The sequence below is a fragment of the Homo sapiens genome, chromosome 11 (genome assembly GCF_000001405.40).
Source record: "Homo sapiens chromosome 11, GRCh38.p14 Primary Assembly".
Taxonomy (NCBI): Eukaryota; Metazoa; Chordata; class Mammalia; order Primates; family Hominidae; genus Homo; species Homo sapiens.
This window is the reverse complement of record NC_000011.10, coordinates 46,099,939-46,120,536: the sequence shown is the minus strand read 5'-3', so window position 1 is coordinate 46,120,536 and position 20,598 is coordinate 46,099,939. Positions and strand designations below refer to the sequence as shown.

Sequence of the window (20,598 nt, the reverse complement as noted above, 5' to 3'; positions counted from 1 at the left end):
AATTGGAAGTAAGTTTATGAGCAGCCTCGGAAGCCTGGGCGCAGAGTGCAGGGCCGGAGCCGGTGACAGAGGCGGCGTGCCGGGGGCGGCGGGGAGGGGGCGTCACATTGTCCCGGCGGGGGGCCGGCCGGGGGCTGCGGGCGGGGGCGGGGGGCACGGAGCCTCGCCCGCCCCCCCTCGGCTGTCCCTCGGCCGGGGAGGTAGCTGGGGCTCCTCCATCCCCCCCACCCCACCCCGGGATGCTGTCGGGGGGAAGTTTTTATTATGATTATTTATTTAATTAAAAAAAATTTTTTTTTGGAAAACCATCTTGTTTGTTGACTGAGGGATCTGGTTTAAAAAAAAAAAAGCTGCGGCTGCTGACGCTGCCGGGCCCCAGTGTGTGTGTTTGTGTGTGTGTGAGTGTGAGTGTGTTGGTGCATTTGTCTTGGGTGGCCGGAGCAGCGTTGGGGAAATTCCGCTTATTCTTCTTCTTCTGCAACTTGTTATTCCGGAGAGTCTGCCTGCACCCCTCACCCCGGGGCCGGCCCTCCCGCATTCGCCCCCGCCGCCGGCGGCCGCGGGGCGCCCCCGGGACCCCGAGCGGGCCGGGGCGGACAGGCCGCTCCGAGAGGGGCCGCGGCCGCCCCTCCCCCGCCCGCGCCCCCGCCGGGGGGAGGGGCGCGCGGAGTGGGACTCTTTCCGTTTGGTCCAGCCCCGTCGTGCACGCAGTTCCCAACACTTCTCGTCATCCTCTCTTTGGTCTCTTTATTCTGCTGAGCGGTGCTGTTAGGATTTCTTTTTTTTTTTTTTCCCCTGACCACGTTCGCGATGGTGGGTAGCAGCAAGGTGGCCCTGGTAGGGGAGGGGTTGGTATCGAGATTGGGCACCGGAGGAGAACGCCTTCTTTCAACTTTGTCTGTGGCTTGCACCCCCGGAGAAGGCCACAGGCCGGTTGTCGGGTGCAGATGTGCCGAGAGTGATTTCTAAGTAGTTGAGTTGTTGTGATGAGGGTACGACTGCTAATGGTCGGCAGGTTTTGTTTTCATTGGTGAATCTGGTGTCATCATATTCCGGTCATATGTTGAAATATTCTTTGTTTAGGTCTGGAAGTAGAGGATCTCACTCTGCACGTCCACATTGTGTTGTTTTTAAAATGATGTCTCTGGGAGTCTGGATTTCTAGAATTTCAAATCTGAGTGAAGGTCCGGGCATGTGTGGGCCTCATCACCTGGCCTTGACAGTGAACTTTGTGGCTGTGTTTCAGATTTCAAAGATTTGCCCCATAGCTGGGGAAGGAGTTGTGCATTTTTGCTAATAGTCGGTGTCAGGAATGTAGATGCTCGAGCTGGGAAAGTTAGAGAGGGAAGAACATTTATATATAAATAATGGATAGTTGAATATTAGAATCAGATTAATTTGGGCTGATGAAAGTTTTTTTTTTTTAAAGCAGTTGTGCACTCTGGGAAGGAAGTCTTTTCACAGGTTCACTTGATAGGGATTCTTTAAGGCGAGGGGCTGGAATTATCTCCTTTTTGAGCGAGTTCTCACCAACATCTGTAGCTTTATTGAGGGCCTGGTAAGGGTACTGAAATTGAGGCTAAACCATGTAAGCGTACTTTTCAGTGTTTATGATATTTGTTTACATCTGGTGTTCACTCTAAGCAATAGAAATAAATAGGTCAGCTTTGCTTTTGGTCTTTGAAGACTGGCCCCCTCCTTCCTTTTTTAAGTTTCACAATTTATTTGGTTTACAGCATTGTTGGAAACTGTTACTACATTTTTACTGGAAATACTATTATTCATTTTAATTTTGGTAAGTTCCTTCTTATTCTCTTCTTCTGTCTTTACTTGTTTATGGAATCGGTGTTGTGGGCTTAAAACTAGTTTATTTTAGGGGGTCATTAAAAATGTCTGAAAAATACATTTTCAAATCCCAGGACCTATCTTTTCATGGCAAAGAGGAAATTTTGTGTACAGTTATGCTAATGTTTATAAAAAAATTTCTGTACTTAAAACGTTTGTAGATGTACAACTATCCTTAAGTGAAGAGCATAGTAATAGTGCACAAAGTTCTCAAAACACAAACATCTGGCTAACATGTTACGAATATTCCAGGGGCTTTTTTTTTTTTTTTTTTAACATCAGACTTTTGCTTTTGGTAACATAATAGTATTTACAGTTTGACTGACATTGCTTGGCTGCCCATAATAAAGTGTTTTGCTTGGGTGCTATTGAATGCTTTTTAACTTAGTTTTTAGACAATTTTGCAGGCTTTATTTAAGCATGTTGTATTTTGGACTGAGGCAAGTCTTTGTGGAACTGGAGTAGTAATAGATGAAAAAGACACCTACCTGGGCTAAATTGTATTTTTAGAAGGTATAAGTGATGGATGGGGCCTATTTCTTTTAGCTTTGAAGGGTCCATCCTTTTTCCTATTCAGTCTTCTGGAAGGAGCTGCCTCTGAAATACTCTTCTTCTGCTTACATGAAGATCTCTAAATGCTATCCAGCAGGAGGTGCTACAGCAAGATAAAGGAAATTTTTGAATTTTGAGGGTCTTGCTACTTATTACAGCTCTGCTTAGCTTCAGCTAAGCAACAGGATTAACACCTTAAAGTTCCAGAAAGATTTTGAGTAAGTCCATTTAAAAATTCCATTCATAAATAATGTTTGCTACTTGAAAGTGAAGTCTTTGACTGTACAAAGTAGATGTGCGATTGCGGATAGTATAAGGATTCTGGCCCTTGGTACAGAGCACTGTTTAGAATTATTTTATTTGGAAGGGGAATTAGTCTTGTGTTGATGAGTGGGATGTTGAGCATGTATTTTAAAAAATTATTTGTAATTGTTATAAACAAAAGTAGTTGGTATGATTTAGGGCTTTAAGCCTTGTTATCATCCCTATAATATTAATACAAATAGGATATAGAGTAGTTGAGATTTTGGAAAGGGGTATAGTGTGTTGAAAAAATTTTAGACTTCTTGTAGTTTTTTCCCCTCGGATTTACAGACTATGATTCTAATATAGATCAATTTTTAGGCACTCGGCTTTATAAATACATATGGTTGATGTACTTAAGTTAGCCTGCAAAGACTGAGATTCTTGAACTGTAAGTCAAGTTGTATCAGTGGTAGGTCATTGTTGATGTAACAGTAACTGCATAAAGATGAATATAGCTACTTTAACAGTTTCATAGCATTTATAGCACATGGTCCTTTGAAACTCTGTTAGTGTTAGGTGAATTGATTATCACTGAAAATATCATGCCACTGTGGTTGCTTGTAAAGTTTTGTGTCGAAGTTTTAAAAATTTGGGGATGCTAGAAAGTTTGATAAATCTGCTTTGAATTTTGTCTATTTTGTAGGCAAAATACTGTTTTCTCAGTAAGACCAAATGAGATAATACATATAAAAGTTCTTCATAAATGGTAAGAAAGCATGCAGATATTAAGTTGTTGAGATAGGTAACTAATTAATACATGGACAGAAGCTTCTGTCTTTAAATGCTAACTTTTTCCATATCAGTTGAGAAAGTAATACATTTAAAGTGCACCCTGGACACTATAGTTTTTTTATTTTTTTATTTTTTGAGACGGAGTCTCGCTCTGTTTCCCAGGCTGGAGTGCAACGGCGTGATCTCGGCTCACTGCAACCTCTGCCTCCCAGGTTCAAGCGATTCTCCTGCCTCTCAGCCTCCTGAGTAGCTGTGATTATAGAGGTGTCCGCCACTACGCCCGGCTAAGTTTTGTATTTTGAGTAGAGACGGGGTATCACCATGTTGGTCAGGCTGGTCTTGAACTCCTGACTCAGGTGATCCACCTGCCTTGGCCTCCCAAAGTGCTGGGATTATAGGCGTGAGCCACCACGCCCGGCCTAAATTTTTGTTTTTTAAATACTGCTGTGGTTACCAAAAATGTCTTTGTTATAGTTTTGAAGCTGCTTTTGAAAAAATGCTGCCTAGTCAGTTTCTCATAATTTAAAAAAAAAAAAAAGATCATTTTCCCTTTTGAAGATCCTGTGAATTGTATGTCCCCTATTACAGTTTTTCTTCATTTCTCCATTGATGTGATGTGATAGTAGTTGATTTTAGTGAGTATGTAAGTTCCCTGATTCTTCTATAGACTCTTATTGACAGAGTAACAGATGTCATGGTTCAAGTTTTGAATGTTTTGACTGACTCTGCTAACTTTCTGAAAAATTCTTACTGCCTAAAGCTTTCAAGCTTGTTTCACAGTGAAAAAGATGTATATCTGTATGTGTTAGTATTAGGTATATATGGATATATCATTTTTGTTTTTCTATTTTAGAAGGATGCACAAGGAAATGACTACTCAAATCTAGAGGAGTGCACTGAAATATTTTTGTGTAAAAATAACCCAAAAGTTTAAAGCCTTGAGTTTCAGCTTTCTTATAAACTCTGCTCACAAATTTGGAATAGAAACATTTTAAAGTAAAATATAGATAATTAGGAACCCTGTGTTTATGAGCCTATCAAAAGGTATAGTATCTTAAATTTTAGAAGTGACTATTCTTTTGAAATTGCCCCCTTTAGAAAGTAAATATAGAAACTTGCTTCTGTGAACGGTGAGAAAAACACTTAACTGTTTAGATAAAAATGAAACCTCTCAGGGTGTTATTAACTTTTTCATCCTACAGACAGTGAATAGTAAAGCTTTCTGTGAAGACATACTGAAGTTAAGCTTATATTAATGTGCTTTTAAATTTTGTATCCTTAGTATTTTATTGCTGAAGGCTTTTGTATTTAATTACTATTCAAACAGAGAAGGGAAGGAATTAAAGTTTTAGGTCTCTGACCTTTAATGGAATTCTTTTATATCTATATCTAGAACTGATTTCTTGAAACATGTTTGAATTTTCATATTATTTTGTGCTGGGAAATATTAATGATTTATGTTGACTTCTCAGGAGCTTTTGTACATGGGCTTTTTTTATAGGCCTAAGAATTCTTTAACGTTTTGATCACATTAATTTTCTCAGGTGTATGTTTTTGCTGCTTTGCGATTTTTTAAAAAAGAGATAATATGTTAACATTGCATTGAATTTATTGTAGATAATTATTTCTTAAATAGCTTATGTTTTCTACTTTGTATGTTTGTGTGTATATGTGGCCATACTATTTTGTAGGCTTTCGTATAATTCTTATATGTGTGTTAAATTTTTGAATAGTTATCTTTTGTAAAAATGTTGAAGTAGACTTTATGAATAACTTTTCTATTACTTGTCCCTCAATTCAGTCTTAAAATTATGGTGAACTCTTCCAAAGCTTTTAGAAATTATATGTGAGGTTCAGCCATCCTTTGGACTCTTCTAAAGCAACTTTCTTACACTAGACTTGTGTGGCAATTTGAATACTCCTCCACTTCTCCCTTTCAGTACCCTGCAAGTCTCTCCCCTCTCCCTGCCTTAAAAAAAAAGTAAATAAAAAAGACTTTGGTGAAAATATCTCAGTTGAAGGCAACTATTCTTTTCTATACTTTGGAATCAGTTACAGAAATGTTTTCTGCCTTTTCTAAGTAGTCAAGAAAGTGAACCAGTATGGAGGGGATAGGAAGGGGATGAGGCCTAACAGGTTGATGATCTAGGCTTTATTTTGACTCTGTTTGTGGGCCTAGGGGAAAAATAACTTAAACACAGAAGCCAAAAAGATGGGTTTTGTTTTATTGTTTTGGCTGCATTGAGAATACAAACTGTCAGTACTTGAGGAGAAGGAGCAGCAGAAAGGAATTGATTTTTTTTCTGCTGCAGATCCAAGTATTGTTAACCATGTGCATCTCCAAAGCGACATACTTACAAATCAAACAGTAGTTGATTATTTCACTCAATTAACAGTCAGAACCCTAAATTGTGTGTGTTTTTTTTAAATTTTAAATAAGTACCCAAAACTTTGGGGTAATGACAGTAATTTCCTGATAAAAGTGGGTATAGTAACCATGGCAACTGCTATCTCTGGCCTTATGGACAGTATGTTGTATTGACGAAGCTTCAAATCCTTTATAGTAGCCCGTCACTTTTATGGTGAAATGTAGTAGCATGTGTTGCAGATGATTTTTAGCTGGATTGCGTTAAATTTGTGTGCCAGCTTATCTTTCCTTGTTAGGAATTTCTTGGACTATATTCCAAAACATGTTTGTGAAGGTGCTGTTGCCTGAAAATAACCCACCACCTGTGTTAGGCCTCCTGATGCAGATTGCACTTAGTTCTTTCCCAGCCTCCTTCCACAGACTTGCAGAAAATAGGAGGGTGTGTAGCAACTGTATATATGTAAATTCTAGCTCAAACTTATCAGCTTGTGTTTGGACGTGTTACTGATAGCTTAAAAAATCTTTTGTGTTTTCAGAAGAGGTCAGTGGATGAGAGAAGTGGGCTTGTAGTTGGAATACTGTTTTTCTAAGTGTTCTTTGTAGAAGCGTGTGTGTGTGGGGATGTGTGCGTGTGTGTGTGTGTGTGTAGGGAATTAGAGGTGAGGAATGGAGGGCATAAATATTGAGTAAGGACTTGACAAAAGCAGAACTTCAGTGTTTTTTGTTTGTTTTTGTGATGGGGTGTGTGCGTATTACTAAAAAAATTATTTCCTGGTGGGCAATATTAGAATATGGGGAATGTTTGCTTCTGAGAATTTTCTTCAAGAAAAATTATTTATAAAATACATCTTGAATAATTGTTAAAAAGCAACCTGTTAAAACAATTAAACTTTTTTTTTTTTTTTTTTTGAGAATGAATCTCACACTGTCACCAGGCTGGAGTGCAGTGGTGCGATATTAGCTCACTGCAGCCTCCACCTCCCAGGTTCAAGCAATTCTCCTGTCTCAGCCTCCTGAGTAGCTGGGACTACAGGCGTGCGCCACCACGCCCAACTAATTTTTGTATTTTTAGTAGAGATGGTTTCACCATGTTGGCCAGGATGGTCTCGATCTCTTGATCTCGTAATTCACCCGCCTCAGCCTCCTAAAGTGTTGGGATTACAGGCGTGAGCCACCGCGCCCGGCCAAAACAATTAAACTTTTTGTGGGGGAGGATTAGAGAATGTTGAAATGGATCCATTCAAACTTTAAAAAACTATTTCAAAAATTATATTTTTTATTCATCAAGTTTTTTTGCTTTTTCAGCATTTTTTTCTGTGCTTCTCCTACGTAAGATTTTTCTAATGTGAAAATGTTGGTCTAAATATTGATACTTTTTCCGGTATGTGCTAGAGAAACTGTGTGCCACATCAGAGAACATACAAATTTGATTTAAATTTGATTAGACTCTGATAATAAGATATAGTCAAATTGTGCTAGATAGTTCAGACTTTCTTGAAACTTGCTGTGATAACGTGGTTTACTTACTACAAGTCCCAGTATGCATTGCAGTTTTTGCTTAACTTCAGATTAGAGCACTGCATGCTGGGACCTGTAGTTGATTTAAACAGTACGGAAAACCCTTCCTTCTTGTCTGCTCCATTTTATTATACACAGCTTCCCAGCCCTCTAAGAACTTTCTGCTAAGTAGTTTGATTACTAATATTATGATTATTATGCTGCTCAAATTCTAAAGTGAGTCTTCAGAAACAACCTAGTGTTTTAGTTTACCTTAGATTAGTTTATTGTATTTTTTATCAGCTACTATAAGGTTTACACACAAAATAATATATTGAAAACTTGACTTAGCAGATGTAAATTATTTTTATGCATGTGGCGATACAGGTCTCTTTATAATTATGGCATCATTCATTGCTAGTGTGGGCATGAGAAGCCTCTTATTATCAAGCCTGATATATATGCTGTTCCTTTTTTTTTAAAATGGGGATAGTTGTTCCGTAAGGTTGGATGGAAGGTTTTCTGTGCCAGTATTTAATTTCAGAGTTCTGTGATTCTTCTGTAATAATTGTCAACATCTTGAATATCTGTACGCTTTAACTGGAATTCCTGAAAATAAATGTGGTTTTAGTGTAAATTTAATACTTGAAAATGTAGTCTGAGGCAGAGAAAGAGGTGAAATGTCTTTAATAATTTATTTATATTTTTATTTGGAAAGTTTAAATTTTTTTGGTGAGGATTCTACTTTAATTTTATTAACTAATATCAGAGGGTTGTTACAGGGATTAATTGTTAAAATCTATGACCGTACCTAGCACGGTGCTTGGCACATAATAAGGGCTCAGTAAACGTTTAGAATTAGCAGCAGCAGCAGTAGTAGTAGTTACTGTTATTTTAAAAAATAGCACGCTTCACATTTTTTTCCTCTCTTTTTACAATATAATTTGATCAGAAGCTCAGGCTGTTCTAAGACCTTGAGATTTTTGGCTTATGGTAATGATGTGACAAATTCCTGAGAATGTTTTTGCTGTGTGTAAAATGTCCTTGCACCTCAGTTTCTCCCTAAGTGATGTATGCCCCCAAAAGGACTATCACACCAGTAACTGAATATTTTGACTAGTATTCAGCTCTGCCTGTCTAGTACTCATTGCATCCATACCACAAGCCTTTGGTTGACTTCAGAAAGTTCAAAAGGTAATGAAAATTTATTGTTTACAATGTTTGCACTGTTAGAATATCCAAACTAGTTGATTAAGGAAAATAAGATGCTGCAAAATGCCCCTTTTGTTACAGTGTATGTAACCTTGGAAAAATTCTGTTGTGTTTAGAAGCATGTACCAATCTATCACTGTAGTTCACAGTGTTACAGGATTGATGTATTGGAGGCCAGTAAACAGCCCCAGAAAGAAAGTGTAGTTTCAAAAAATCTTAATTCTTTACATTAATTTTCTCTTTTAGGACACTGACTTCTTTTAGGCTCTTGAACTTGTATTTTTATTTGCATGGCTGGTTCCTTTTGGCTGTTTGAGAAGGGAAAGGGATGCCTGGGGATATTGGAAAATGTAAGTGTAAGCTGCAATGTATATGTCTTAGTTTGAATGTATGCAGAAGCAGGGCAGTGCCTTTCTTACTTGCTTAGCCAGTATCTTATTCCAGCTTTTTCTCTTGCGAGGAGTTCTTACAATATTGTTGCTGAGGGCTACCATGTTTATTTAAGAAAACTCTGCCTTTAGTTTTATTTATTTATTTATTTATTTATTTGAGACGGAGTCTTGCCATGTTGCCCAGGCTGGATATGGAGTGCAGTGGCGCAATATCAGCTCACTGCAACCTCTGCCTCCCAGGATCCAGCAGTTCTCATGCCTCAGCCTCTCGAGCAGCTGGAATTACAGGCATGCACCTCCATGCCTGGCTAATTGTTATATTTTTAGTAGAGATGGGGTTTCACCATGTTGGCCAGGCTGGTCTCTTAACTCTTGGCCTCAAGTGATCTGCCCACCTCGGCCTCCCAAAGTGCTGGGATTACAGGCGTGAGCCACCACGCCTGGCCCAAGAAATATTTTTTAAAGTACTTGTTTATATAGCAAACCAATCTGCTGTAATAATACTAGCCTCCCCCCCCACATAGTTGTGATTTAAAATTTGTTAATATGGCCAGGCGCGGTGGCTCACGCCTGTAATCCCAGCTCTTTGGTAGGCTGAGGCGGGTGGATCACCTGAGGTCAAGAGTTCGAGACCAGCCTGGCCAACATGGCAAAACCTCATCTCTACTGAAAATAGAAAATTAGCTGGGCGTGGTGGCAGGTGCCTGTAATCCCAGCTACTCGGGAGGCTGAGGCAGGAGAATCGCTTGAACCCAGAAGGCGGAGGTTGCAGTGAGCTGCGGTTGTGCCATTGCACTCCAGCCTGGGAGACAGAGCAAGACTCTGTCTCAAAAAAAAAAAAAAATTGTTAATATGTAGATTAGACATTAAATAGATTCCTTAGATGTGTCCAAAATGTATGGAATCTGGTCTGATATGCTTCTACTTTATAAGCTGTTTTATTTATATGACATCAATTTGTCTTTTCAAGACCTAATATTAAAATGAAATAAATTCAGCAGTTACAAAGGAGTTAATACAAAGGGCTAAATATAAGGAGAAAAATAGTCCCTGGTGTTAATGGCCAATATAGAAAATATCAGGTTTGTAGGAATTCTCATTCCATATTTTTATCATTATATGTACCCATGTGATTACTGAAATACTAAAGTTGGAAATCAGGAGAGGAAATAAGGAGAGTAAAACTGGGCAGCCATGTAGATTCAGTATAGAGACCTTTGACACACCTAAATTATTGAACACAGTTTTCTTTTTTAATGAAATGCCCCAGGCCAGTATAAAGGAAACAGTTGTGATGATGTCAGAAGACTTGGTCTTAAGTGTACTCCTGTCACGTAGCTGTACACTCTTGGGAAGTTCATCCTTGCTGGGCTTTAGTTTACCCAGTGGTAAAATGGGGATAATAATAAGGGCCTGCTTCACTATGATATTAAAAGGATTAGATAAGATAATACTCATGAATGTACTTTATATTACTAAAGTTGTGTATGTAAATTGAATTTTTAATCAGCAATAAGGGGCTGGGTTTTAAGATATTTATCTGTATCATGTTAATAATATTAATATTATACAATTTTAAATAATGAGTTAGAACCAAAAAATTAGTGATCCACCCTGCTCCCAATAGACCAGTACTTTTTTTTTTTTTTTTTGACACGGAGTCTTGCCCTGTTGCCCAGGCTGGAGTGCAGGGGGGCCATCTCAGCTCACTGCAACCACTACCTCCTAGGTTCAAGTGATTCTCCTTCCTCAGCCTTCCCGAGTAGTTGGGACTACAGGCATGTGCCACCACACCCGGCTAATTTTTGTATTTTCAGTAGAGACGGTTTCACCATGTTGGGTAGACTGGTCTCTAACTCCTGATCTCAAGTGATCCACCTGCCTCACCTTCCCAAAGTGCTGGGATTACAGGCCTAAACCACCACGCCTGGCCCAATAGACAAATTCTTGACATGTGTTTACGTGTGTGTTTATGGTGTAGTTCTTAACAGTATACACATTGGTACATTTGTGTGTATATTATAAATATAAATGTACTGGTGTGTTGTCATGGGAATGAAAAATTTTAATTATGAGCTTTTGTGTTTTAAAAATTTTATTTTACTAACTATATAAATTTTATTTTTATGTGTTAATATACAAACTTACATAAATATATATATTTGTGTTTGGAGAAGTGACATACACACATTTTGGAGAAATGACATAGATTTTAAATGTTTGACAAGTTGTGAACGGTTTTTGTACCTTAGGTTTATCTGTTGTCATCAATAATAAAGAGTGTTTATTATGTATAGTGCTAAGCCTTTTTACACATAGGATCTTATTTAGTTTTAATCCTCACAGCAATATTCTGAGGATTTACTATTATTATCCTACCTCCATTTTACAAATGAGGAAGTAGAGGTTTCCCTCGGATCACATAGGTAACAAATGATACAACCTGGATTCAAGCCCAGGTTTGATTCCTGAGCCCTTGCTCTTAAATGTCCAAAATGCTATACTAAACTATGTAATTCCCATAGATACCTAGAAATGAATTACTAAAGAAGTTTTCAATTTACTGAAATGGCCACAGCTACAGTGTATCATTTTGAGGCTGTTTCATGTTGATTTTGGTTGGGTTAGGTTGAGTAGTTTGAAAATAGTAAACATTGGAATGGGATGGAAATGAAGACATTTGGGACAGTGCCTGCTTTGTTTATCCTTGTATATCCATTGCCAAGCATAGTGCGTAGCATGGGGTGGGGTCTAATAGCTATTTCTTAAAGTTTGGAAGTTGGGCACTTTATAAAGCACAGTGTAAGTTAGTTTAATACTTTTTTTAGTAGGTGCAAATGGTTTACATTCACTATTTCAGTCAGTCCTTATATAACGATCAACGTTTTAGAGTGTTAGATAAGTGTCCTTTCAAGAAATATTACAAAAGCTGTGCATCTAAGTTAGAAAGTCATTCTAGCAATATAGATACGTATAAAGTAGAAAATTAGTCATTCCGTTCTCATCCTACTTTTAAACTTTTCCTGTGCATTTACATATGTATTTTATATATATATATATATATACACACACACACATTTTTAAAGAAGTTTAATTATACCATAATACTCTCAAAGTTTACTTTTTTCCAGGTGACTATTTAAAAAACTTGTTTATTTTTGAAAATAGGGCTCATGTGGGAAGTGGGAGTAAGGTTGGAGGAAGAGAGGTGGGTAAGATTTATACATTAAGATTCCAAACCTAATGCCTTAGATTGATTGTACCTCATGCTTTAGGAAATGGTCATTGTTATTTTTTAAACTTAAAAAAAAATCAGTTTAAAATGACAACATTGTTTTCTGTCCTATATAAGTAATTTAGGAGGCATCATTTCTGAATTAAATGATTCTAGTTTATTCTAGTAGCTACTTATAAAGAGAGCAATTGTGTTTTCAAATAACATTTAAAAAAACTGGTAATCTCTCTTCTTGGTTGTTAGGACACATTTATTTCACATTTACAAAGTAAATAGGCAAGAATTGGGGCAAACCTGTAAAAAAGAAAAAATAAAAAGTAGGATTTTAAAACCAAGATAATACATGTAATATTTTAATTAATAGAAACTCAAAGTAGTACTGCTTAATCAGCGTAAAGATACCCTACATAGGAATTAGTCCTGGTCTTCACAACTTCATGTGAGTAGTGTGGGCTGACCTCATCCCCATCACCTATCCCTACTCACTCAACCACTACCAAATGCTATGCTGATAACTCAGTATTTTTTAACGCAGTTAAAAAAAAAAAGTAAGTTATTTGAGTGCTGTTCATTTTTTCTGGCATTATATTTAGAAAGACATACTAAAGGCCTTATAATCTACATTAAATAGAACTCTTGATTCCAGCTTTGAGAGTTTTAACTTGTTGCTGAGATTATTAGTGATAATTCACTGTTGTAATTTTTAAATTAAAAAATTTTGTTACACAGGTAATAAAAAGTTTTCGTTATAAAAGTTTTTAAAAAAGCCTTTCTAATCCTAGAATACACTCCTTGCATCTAAGGTGCTTTATGCTTCTTTAGATCCACGAAGTGCTAAAGCCTTGCCGTAAAATTCTAAGAATTGGACCTGGTAGAATGTAGCAGTTTATTTAAACTATAGAGTAGTCAACGTTTTTTACCAGCCAAGTTTAGTTTTTCTCATTGGTAGCATTCATAAATATGCTTTTCCTTTTGAGTGGCTCAGACCATGTCCTACAGAGTATTTTATTCTTGTTCATTCTAGTCTAATAGTGTACAGAGGGCTCAATTAATGTTATGGATGGTGAAACTGAGAGACAAGAATTTGACTAAGTTAGTGGTAGAGCCTAGTTTTCCTTTTTTATTCTAGACTCAGTCATCTTGACCAGTACTCTCTACACTTTTAAAAATTATGGTTACCAGTTAAATGTATGATAGTCTAAACTAGTGTTTTATGCATGTTGTCAAACATATAGGAAATTTGAAATTTTTAAAAGGATGAGATTTTAAAATATAAGTTGTAATAATTTCTTCCCAGTGGCTCCCTTCCTCAGGGTACCCACACCCACTTGGAGATGAGTGCTCAAGATAGGCCATTCTTCCTGCAGAAGAGGCAGCCGTGGGGACAGCTGGAGGACAGTTGGTAAAAGGTGTGGGACTTTTAAGTTGGAGTGATCTTTTGCAGCTTTTTAATTTTAAAGAAACAGCCTTTCTTTCTGTGAAAGGCTGAAGGATTCAAAGTATAGGCCTGGAGAGAGGTGAGCTTTAAAAGACAGAAATATAAACCTTACTTGTTTTCCTCAGAGTTGACCAAAAGGGAAAGGGCTGCCTGCCCTGATAGCTTCTACTCCCATTGAGATGGCAGTGCCTTTTTCTGTTGTTAGGCAGTTTATAGAACGCAGGATAGCTTGGTAAGCGTCTTCTCTGTGCCTGATGTGACGTAACATTGTGGAGTATGCAGCATGCATGTTAAGTACAAGTGGTTGTATTTGGCTTGTTGCTACAGCATTTTTGAAGATGTCTTAAAAAGCAATTATCAGTGGATGGAGTTGGATATGTGCAAATTATTGAAATCATCATATCTCGAAGACCAAACTTTGTAACTTGAATTATTCTATTTAGTATTTGTTTACTTCCCCCAACCCCCAACACCTCAGAGCAGAATTCTTTTTCTGAAAGGAACAGATGCCGTTAACTTATCAGGACTTGATACTAAAAAGCCTACAAAAATCTTTGTGCTGTTTATTTTCTTTATTTAATCTATATGCAAAACATATTGTAATTATTGCTGTTAGAGAGTTTTAAGCTGATGGTTCCCCCCCACCCTTTTGTGCTCAGGGGAGATAGATTAGGAATGCCAAATTGACAACTTGGTATAAAGAAATAATGACCATTGAAATAAAACAGGAGTTCAAATAAAAAGCAAATCAGATACAAATGTAGAATGAAAATATCTTTTAGTAAAATGTTAGCATGCTGTACTTGGAACAGATGCCACATTAATTCAAAAGAGAGCCCAGAAAATGTGGCAACTTTACGATGTCAATGGAGGGAGCTGCAATAGTTCCTGTTTTCATTGTGTCAGGTTCTCAGTACCTTTAGGTCCAGTCCTGTTCCTTGTATTTATTTTCTGTATATTACATGTTAGTATACAAATATTAAATCCGTGCCTAATACTTATATTTGTGTAATTAAATACATTGTCATGCTATTAGATATTAGTATAAAAAGCCCAATAACTTATACTGCAATAGTCATGTTTTTTGTTTTAAATACACCTATCAAGATATTCAGAATCTGAAGCAAAAATTCTCTGCATCCTTCAAGGCACATTTATGATAAGAAGGTAGTCTAAGAATTGAGTCTTTCAAAGAGGCCTAGTGCTTTTTAAATGTAAAATTTGGACAAGTTACAAAATTATGAGAATTTTGCTTTTTTCTCATTTAAATTTGTAGTTATCATTGGACATTTGTTATGATTTTTAAGTAGCTTAGACTCATTCATTCCTTTTGTGTTTTTTTTTATGGTGTTTGGGAAGAAGAAGGGGTGATGGAAGGGTACTGTACACACTGGGATATTTTCAGAGTGACATTCATTTTATAGAAGATTGCACAGGGACGTCTCTGAATTGCCCATTTCTTGCAGTTCCTGGTTAGTGTGGGTCTGAGTGTGGAGAAAGGTGGGCTGGGGGCTCTTAACCAGATTTACAGTTGTGCTACTTCCTGAGTCGTGCAGTGATCTAATCATCAGGGGCATGTCCTGTGTGCCTGTAAAGACGTCTGGCACACATGCTTGGAAAGCACTACTAGTTTTCTCTCAGTGAAGCTTACAATTTAGTAATTTGGTAAAAAGGTTAAAAGTTTTGTTTTCATGTAATTCGAGTGAAGGGGAGTTTATAGCGTGTCAGTAGAACACAGAGGTTAAGAATGTTAGTGCAGGAGCCACTTTGCATGGGCCCAGATCCTAGCTTTGCCACGTATTAGCTCTGACTGTGGCCAAATGACTTCCTGCTCTGCCTCTGCCTCAGTTTCTTCACCTGTAAAATTTGAATAAAATGAAGTGGTTATGAGGAATAAGTGAGTTAATGTGTAAACTAGTAGAAGTGCCTGACACATAGTAAGTACTAAATAAATGGTACTGAAGCTTAGTTTTCTGCTCCTTTCTTCTCTTCTCAAGGATTGAGACAAGTATTAGTATAAGAGCCTGAGCTTTGGCATCTGACTCCAGTATTTGAATCTCAGTATAACCACTTAAAGTTTAATGTGTGACCTTGGACTAATTATTTAAGCTCACTCCAATAAAGATGTATCACATACGTGCTGCATACCACTGTGCTGGTCACTGGGACTTCAGTTTCTTCATCTGTGATACAGAGATGGTAATACCAGCCTCCTAGGGTTCATGTGACAATAAAATGAGGAAATCTTGAGACACTCAATCATGATAGCTGCTCTTATCATTATTATTGTTATTATTACAGTCCCACTAAAAGTTCATGGGAAAAGAGTAAATTTGGAACAATTTAGCTGGAGAGGTTTTTTTTCTCCCTTGAAATGCGTGGTGAGAAAGAGTATAGATGATAAAAGTGTTATCTAATGAGTTCTTATTTGTGAATACCTCTGGGAAAAATAGAAAATACATGGGAATATGTCAGTTTTAACAGAGCCTGCTAAATATTTTAGGGGATTTAATGTTTATTAAAACCCATAGTGATATAAGCTTTTCTTTTTTTTTCTCAACAGCTGGTGAGACCAGCACCAAGATATTGATGCAGTTTATAGTAGGTCTCTTAGAATCAAGTCAGTAGTAGACTAGGCATTGTAACTCTCAAGTCTTAAATACTCATCAGCTGGTCAGTCCATTGGGTCTGGCAAATTATGTGTATTTAACCCTTGAGAACTCATGCTTGGGTGTAACAACTAGTGGAAACAATTGTAGAACCCCAGAGATATAAAAGTGGCATACAAATGCTTTCTAATAATGATGGGCACAGTTTATTTGCTTTCTGATTTTGGGCATTTTGCCTTTGTGAAATTTCCTCTCATTTGGTGCCTGATGTTTTCTTATGGTAGTTGTTATTTTCTTTCTATATTTAATTGTCATAAGCTACCTATGTTGAGCCTAGAAACTGAGCCTGAGAACAAGTTGATTATGAGAAAAGGTACAATGATCTCCTCAGATTTGAGGAGTTTTGGGGTAAATAATTGAGTTAATATATCCATTAGAATGTATATATGTATCTGTCTTACGAATGTCTCTATCTTATAAGTGAAACCAGTAAATGAGGTAAGGGGAAAGATCATTAAGTGTAAAATATAATTAACTTTGTTCATTCACTACTGATCAGGATCTGAACGTTTTTGGTCTTTGATCCTTGATATGTTTTTTTCTGTGATTCAACAAATGTATTTGTAATAGCTTACCAAAACATTCTGAATATGGTATATGTTACCCTTAGCAAGAATTTAAGTTAAAGTAGCATAATGGCTCCTATTAACTTTTTGTTCTCACTAACCCAGCTGTACCATTTGATAAAGGTCTAGTAGGTGAATAGGTGTGTTTACTATAGGTGAATTGGTGTATATTTTATTTTGTCCCTGTTCCTAAAACATTGTATCTCATTTCTGAGGAGAAATTCCAACGAGTTTTTTAAAAAATAAAGTGGTGTACTTTGGCTCGACAAATATTTTTAAAACTAAGCAATTTTATAATGGGTTGTATAGTTATCTTTCAATTAAATAATTGTAATCTTACTTTGCAATAGAGTGACCAGTAGGTAAAGCATTATAGTTTTAAAATTAGCATAGCAAATATATAGTATTAAGTTTTCTTTACTTTAGCTCTTTGCAGAATCTGTAAAAGTTGTTTCCGTTGGTTGAATGGAATTGTGGAAACTTTAGAAGTATATTTCATTTTGATAAATATGTGTTAGAAAGAGATTCTACAAGCGTTTGGGGGTTGAGTTAAAGAATTATACAATTTTGAAAATCAGTTTGTCCCTGCTTAATTTGTAAAAAGTGGTGCTGTATGTGACGGGGGTGCAGTCCCATTTCAGCTCTGCAGGACCCTGTCCAGCCGGTGGTGCTCCTGTGTAGAGATGCCGCCGGTGATTGCCCAGACTCCCTGTGTTGCCTTTCCTCTCCTGCTTCTCTGCTTACCCTCTTGATGGTCTCTTTCCGTCCCCTGCCTGTTATTCATCCTTCCCTTCAAGCCACCACTGTTTTATTTCTATTTCTCTTAAAAACAAAACACTGTTGTAATTATTAGTTTTTAAACAGGGAGATACTGAGCTATTATCAAAACCTTAAGCTTTAACAGTTTGTGGGGATACCCCCTACTTTGGGCCCTCAGCTGGAATTTGGAGAATGGATAGCTTAAAATCACTTGCACAGTAACTGAATATTTGTAAAATACTTTATATCTGGACTAAGAGAGAGAATAGAAAAATACCTTTTTACCTCAGAAATTGCTGTATTTTCTGGTTGGGGTGAGATAGAGGCAAAGTTGAGGAAGAGGCAGGCATGTTACTTAACTAAAATAAGCATTAATTTATTAGACTGCTCTCTAGTCTCATGGACCTAATTGGAGAATTAAAAAATGGAAATTTTGGTGTTGTGAATTGCTAAAATATTTTGATTTATTAATTGAGAAGACTAGGCTTTCTTTCCTTGATTTGTAAATACAGAATACCACTGATGCCTTATTATATATTGATCTTTTACATGTCATTGGTTGATAGTTGCAAAGTAGCAGACCCTTTCCTTTTTAGATTTCTCCTAGTGGTTTTAAATTGTTAACATAATTGTTTGGTAAGAAAAATAAAACTTGGAAATTAATTATGGTTACATGTTGAGTTAATGTCTCTGCTGGATTTAAAATCAGTAGCTCCTGGTTAGGTGTAGTGGCTCATGCCTGTAATCCCAGCACTGTGGGAGGCCGAGGCTGGTGTATCACTTGAGCTCAGGAGTTTGATACCAGCACAGGGACAGGCGTGGTGGCTCGCGCCTGTAATCCCAGCACTTTGGGAGGCCGAGGCGGGTGGATCACAAGGTCAGGAGTTTGAGACCATCCTGGCCAACATGATGAAACCCTGTCTCTACTAAAAATACAAAAATTAGCTGGGCGTGGTGGCACATGCCTGTAATCCCCGCTACTCAGGAGGCTGAGGCAGGAGAATCGCTTGAACACAGGAGTCAGAGGTTGTAGTGAGCCGAGATTGCGCCACTGCTTCCAGCCTGGCGACAGAGCGAGACTCCGTATTTAAAAAAAAAAAAAAAAAGAGGGAGACCAGCACGGGCAACATGGTGAAACCCTGTTTCTACAAAAAATACAAAAATTAGCCGAGTGTGGTGGCATGTGCCTGTAGTCCCAGCTATTAGGGAGGCTGAGTTGGGTGGATTGATTAAGCCTGGTAGGTCGAGGCTGCGAGGCTGTGATTGTGCCATGCCACTGCACTCCAGCCTGGGCAACAAAGCGAGACACTGTCTCAATCAGTCAATCAGTTCAGTAGCTTCTAAGATCTATACCAGGCATTTCATCTATTATTTAATTATACTTAGAGAAAAACATTTGAGACAAGAGCCTTTATAGGATTTTAAATAACTTCTTCTTATGGAAATTTAAAAACATTTATAAAAATAGAGTGAATAATATAACCCCACGTACCTATTCCCTAACTAACAATTACCAGCATTTTGCCAATCTTTATTTATAGTGTGTAAAACATAACAGGAAAGTAACTTTGTGTTTTCAAAACATGCACTACAGTTAGATACATTGGTATACTCAAAGGAAAAATGTGTATGAGAATGTTCTTTTCATACATTGTTAGTTTAATACTGGTAATCCCTTTTAGGATAATATTTTCATTTGTCTTTTAACTTACTGAAGATGTCTGAGCCACCACTAACTTAGTGAAGAACGATGCCTGCTGGACAGATTTTAGCTTTTCTTACTCCTGCTTTTAGAAGTTCTGAGATTATTAGTTTTGAGCTTGTGTTCTTAGGAGTTGCATTTTATTTTATGTACACTTTCCTGTCTGTGATGGTTGTATGGACCACCATTTCTTAGCATAAGCAGGACAATATATAAGTCAGCTTAAAGTTGCAGGTCACAAGTCTTGTTCCGCACTTCCTTCTTGTGCATATTCTATTTCTATTTAACCCAAATGTGTGTATTGGTTAAGGAATGCTTGTTTCACTTATAAAATGGTTTGTCAAGGAGGGACTTTTGACTACCTGCTATCTTTAGACGTGGTAACAGTGGTTAGAAACTTGCTATGTGCTCCCTTGTTTGCTCTTCTTTGCACTGTAAGTTGTACATATGTCTGCAGTTGTGGGGCGTGTTCATTAGGAGTCACTACAAGGTAATGGTAGACTTATTTCTGAATTTATTTGGTTGCATTAGTTTAAATTAGACCCACAGGTGTAATTATTCCATCTCAATGCATGGGGAAGCATAGTCAGTGAAAGTTGTGCATGTAAACCCCTGTGCATTGAAAATGTGTCTTTAATGTTATGATGTTATTTGGCATCTATCATTTAGTGCAAGGAGTATACTTACTTAACAGGACCTTTAATAAGTTCCCTCTACACCAAAGATATATATTTTAAAAATTATACTTAAGAAGACTTTGTGGTATTCCCCAGAAGAGTTCGCCTATAGCAGCAAAACCTTTCTAAAATAAAACTTATTCTTTTAACCGGTATTCATTTAAGTGGGTTTCTCTCTACTTGGTTTCCATGGAAATAGCAAATAGCTAACGTTATTTATAAGGTGGAAGTAAAATAGGGTGCCTAATGGGACCCCATGCTGCTCTGATGAAGAGACTTAGGAAAAAAGTCCATGCTCATGGGATTTTTTTTTTTTTAAACAAGGTTAATGGAAGCCCTGATTTCAGTCTTCTGTAACATAACATATTTTTGGTCTTAAAGGCTAGCATTAATATCAAGCAAACAACTTCTTTTTGAGGTCTGTATTGCTTTCACTTTCAAGTTTTAGGACTACTTACTTATCAGCGTGATTGAGGCATGTTTCAGACTCCTGTTTCTTTGTGGTTTTTGTTTCAAAAGTTAAAATTCCCAGTGTATTGTAGCTGTTTCCACTTCTCATTGACATTTCAAAGTACTGATAAAAAGATAAATGTTCATTAAGGATAGCAGTGGTGAGAAAGGATCAATATGTTGGACTACAAAGATTTT

The 20,598-nt window shown here is 37.3% G+C and overlaps 1 protein-coding gene across 55 annotated transcripts in view, besides 3 other annotated features; it reads left to right on the top strand.

The window, feature by feature from the left end:
• PHF21A (PHD finger protein 21A) overlaps positions 1–20,598 on the top strand; it is a 192,136-nt gene that overhangs the window by 918 nt on the left and 170,620 nt on the right. For 11 of the 55 annotated variants that reach the window (XM_047427087.1, XM_047427102.1, XM_047427110.1 and 8 more), the window contains exons 1-2: positions 708–813; positions 1,737–1,795. The exons of 29 other annotated variants lie outside the window; for them this stretch is intronic. The gene's annotated coding sequence lies outside the window, so the exon portion shown is untranslated. Of the gene's footprint in view, positions 1–707; positions 1,796–2,422; positions 2,616–20,598 lie in introns of those variants that run through there. 15 more of the 55 variants (NM_001352025.3, NM_001352032.3, XM_047427103.1 and 12 more) reach the window with 4 other exon arrangements.
• Positions 474–553: a silencer, noted in NCBI's record as "silent region_3294". NCBI's record gives its function as "represses an Ori minimal core promoter by ATAC-STARR-seq in GM12878 lymphoblastoid cells {active_cell/tissue: GM12878}" and the evidence as "EXISTENCE:reporter gene assay evidence [ECO:0000049][PMID:35858748]".
• Positions 624–683: a silencer, noted in NCBI's record as "silent region_3293". NCBI's record gives its function as "represses an Ori minimal core promoter by ATAC-STARR-seq in GM12878 lymphoblastoid cells {active_cell/tissue: GM12878}" and the evidence as "EXISTENCE:reporter gene assay evidence [ECO:0000049][PMID:35858748]".
• Positions 867–1,024: a silencer, noted in NCBI's record as "fragment chr11:46141064-46141221 (GRCh37/hg19 assembly coordinates)". NCBI's record gives its function as "represses an EF-1alpha promoter that drives an FKBP-Casp9 reporter gene in an ReSE screen in phorbol 12-myristate 13-acetate-treated (for megakaryocytic differentiation) K562 erythroleukemia cells {active_cell/tissue: K562(+PMA)}" and the evidence as "EXISTENCE:reporter gene assay evidence [ECO:0000049][PMID:32094911]".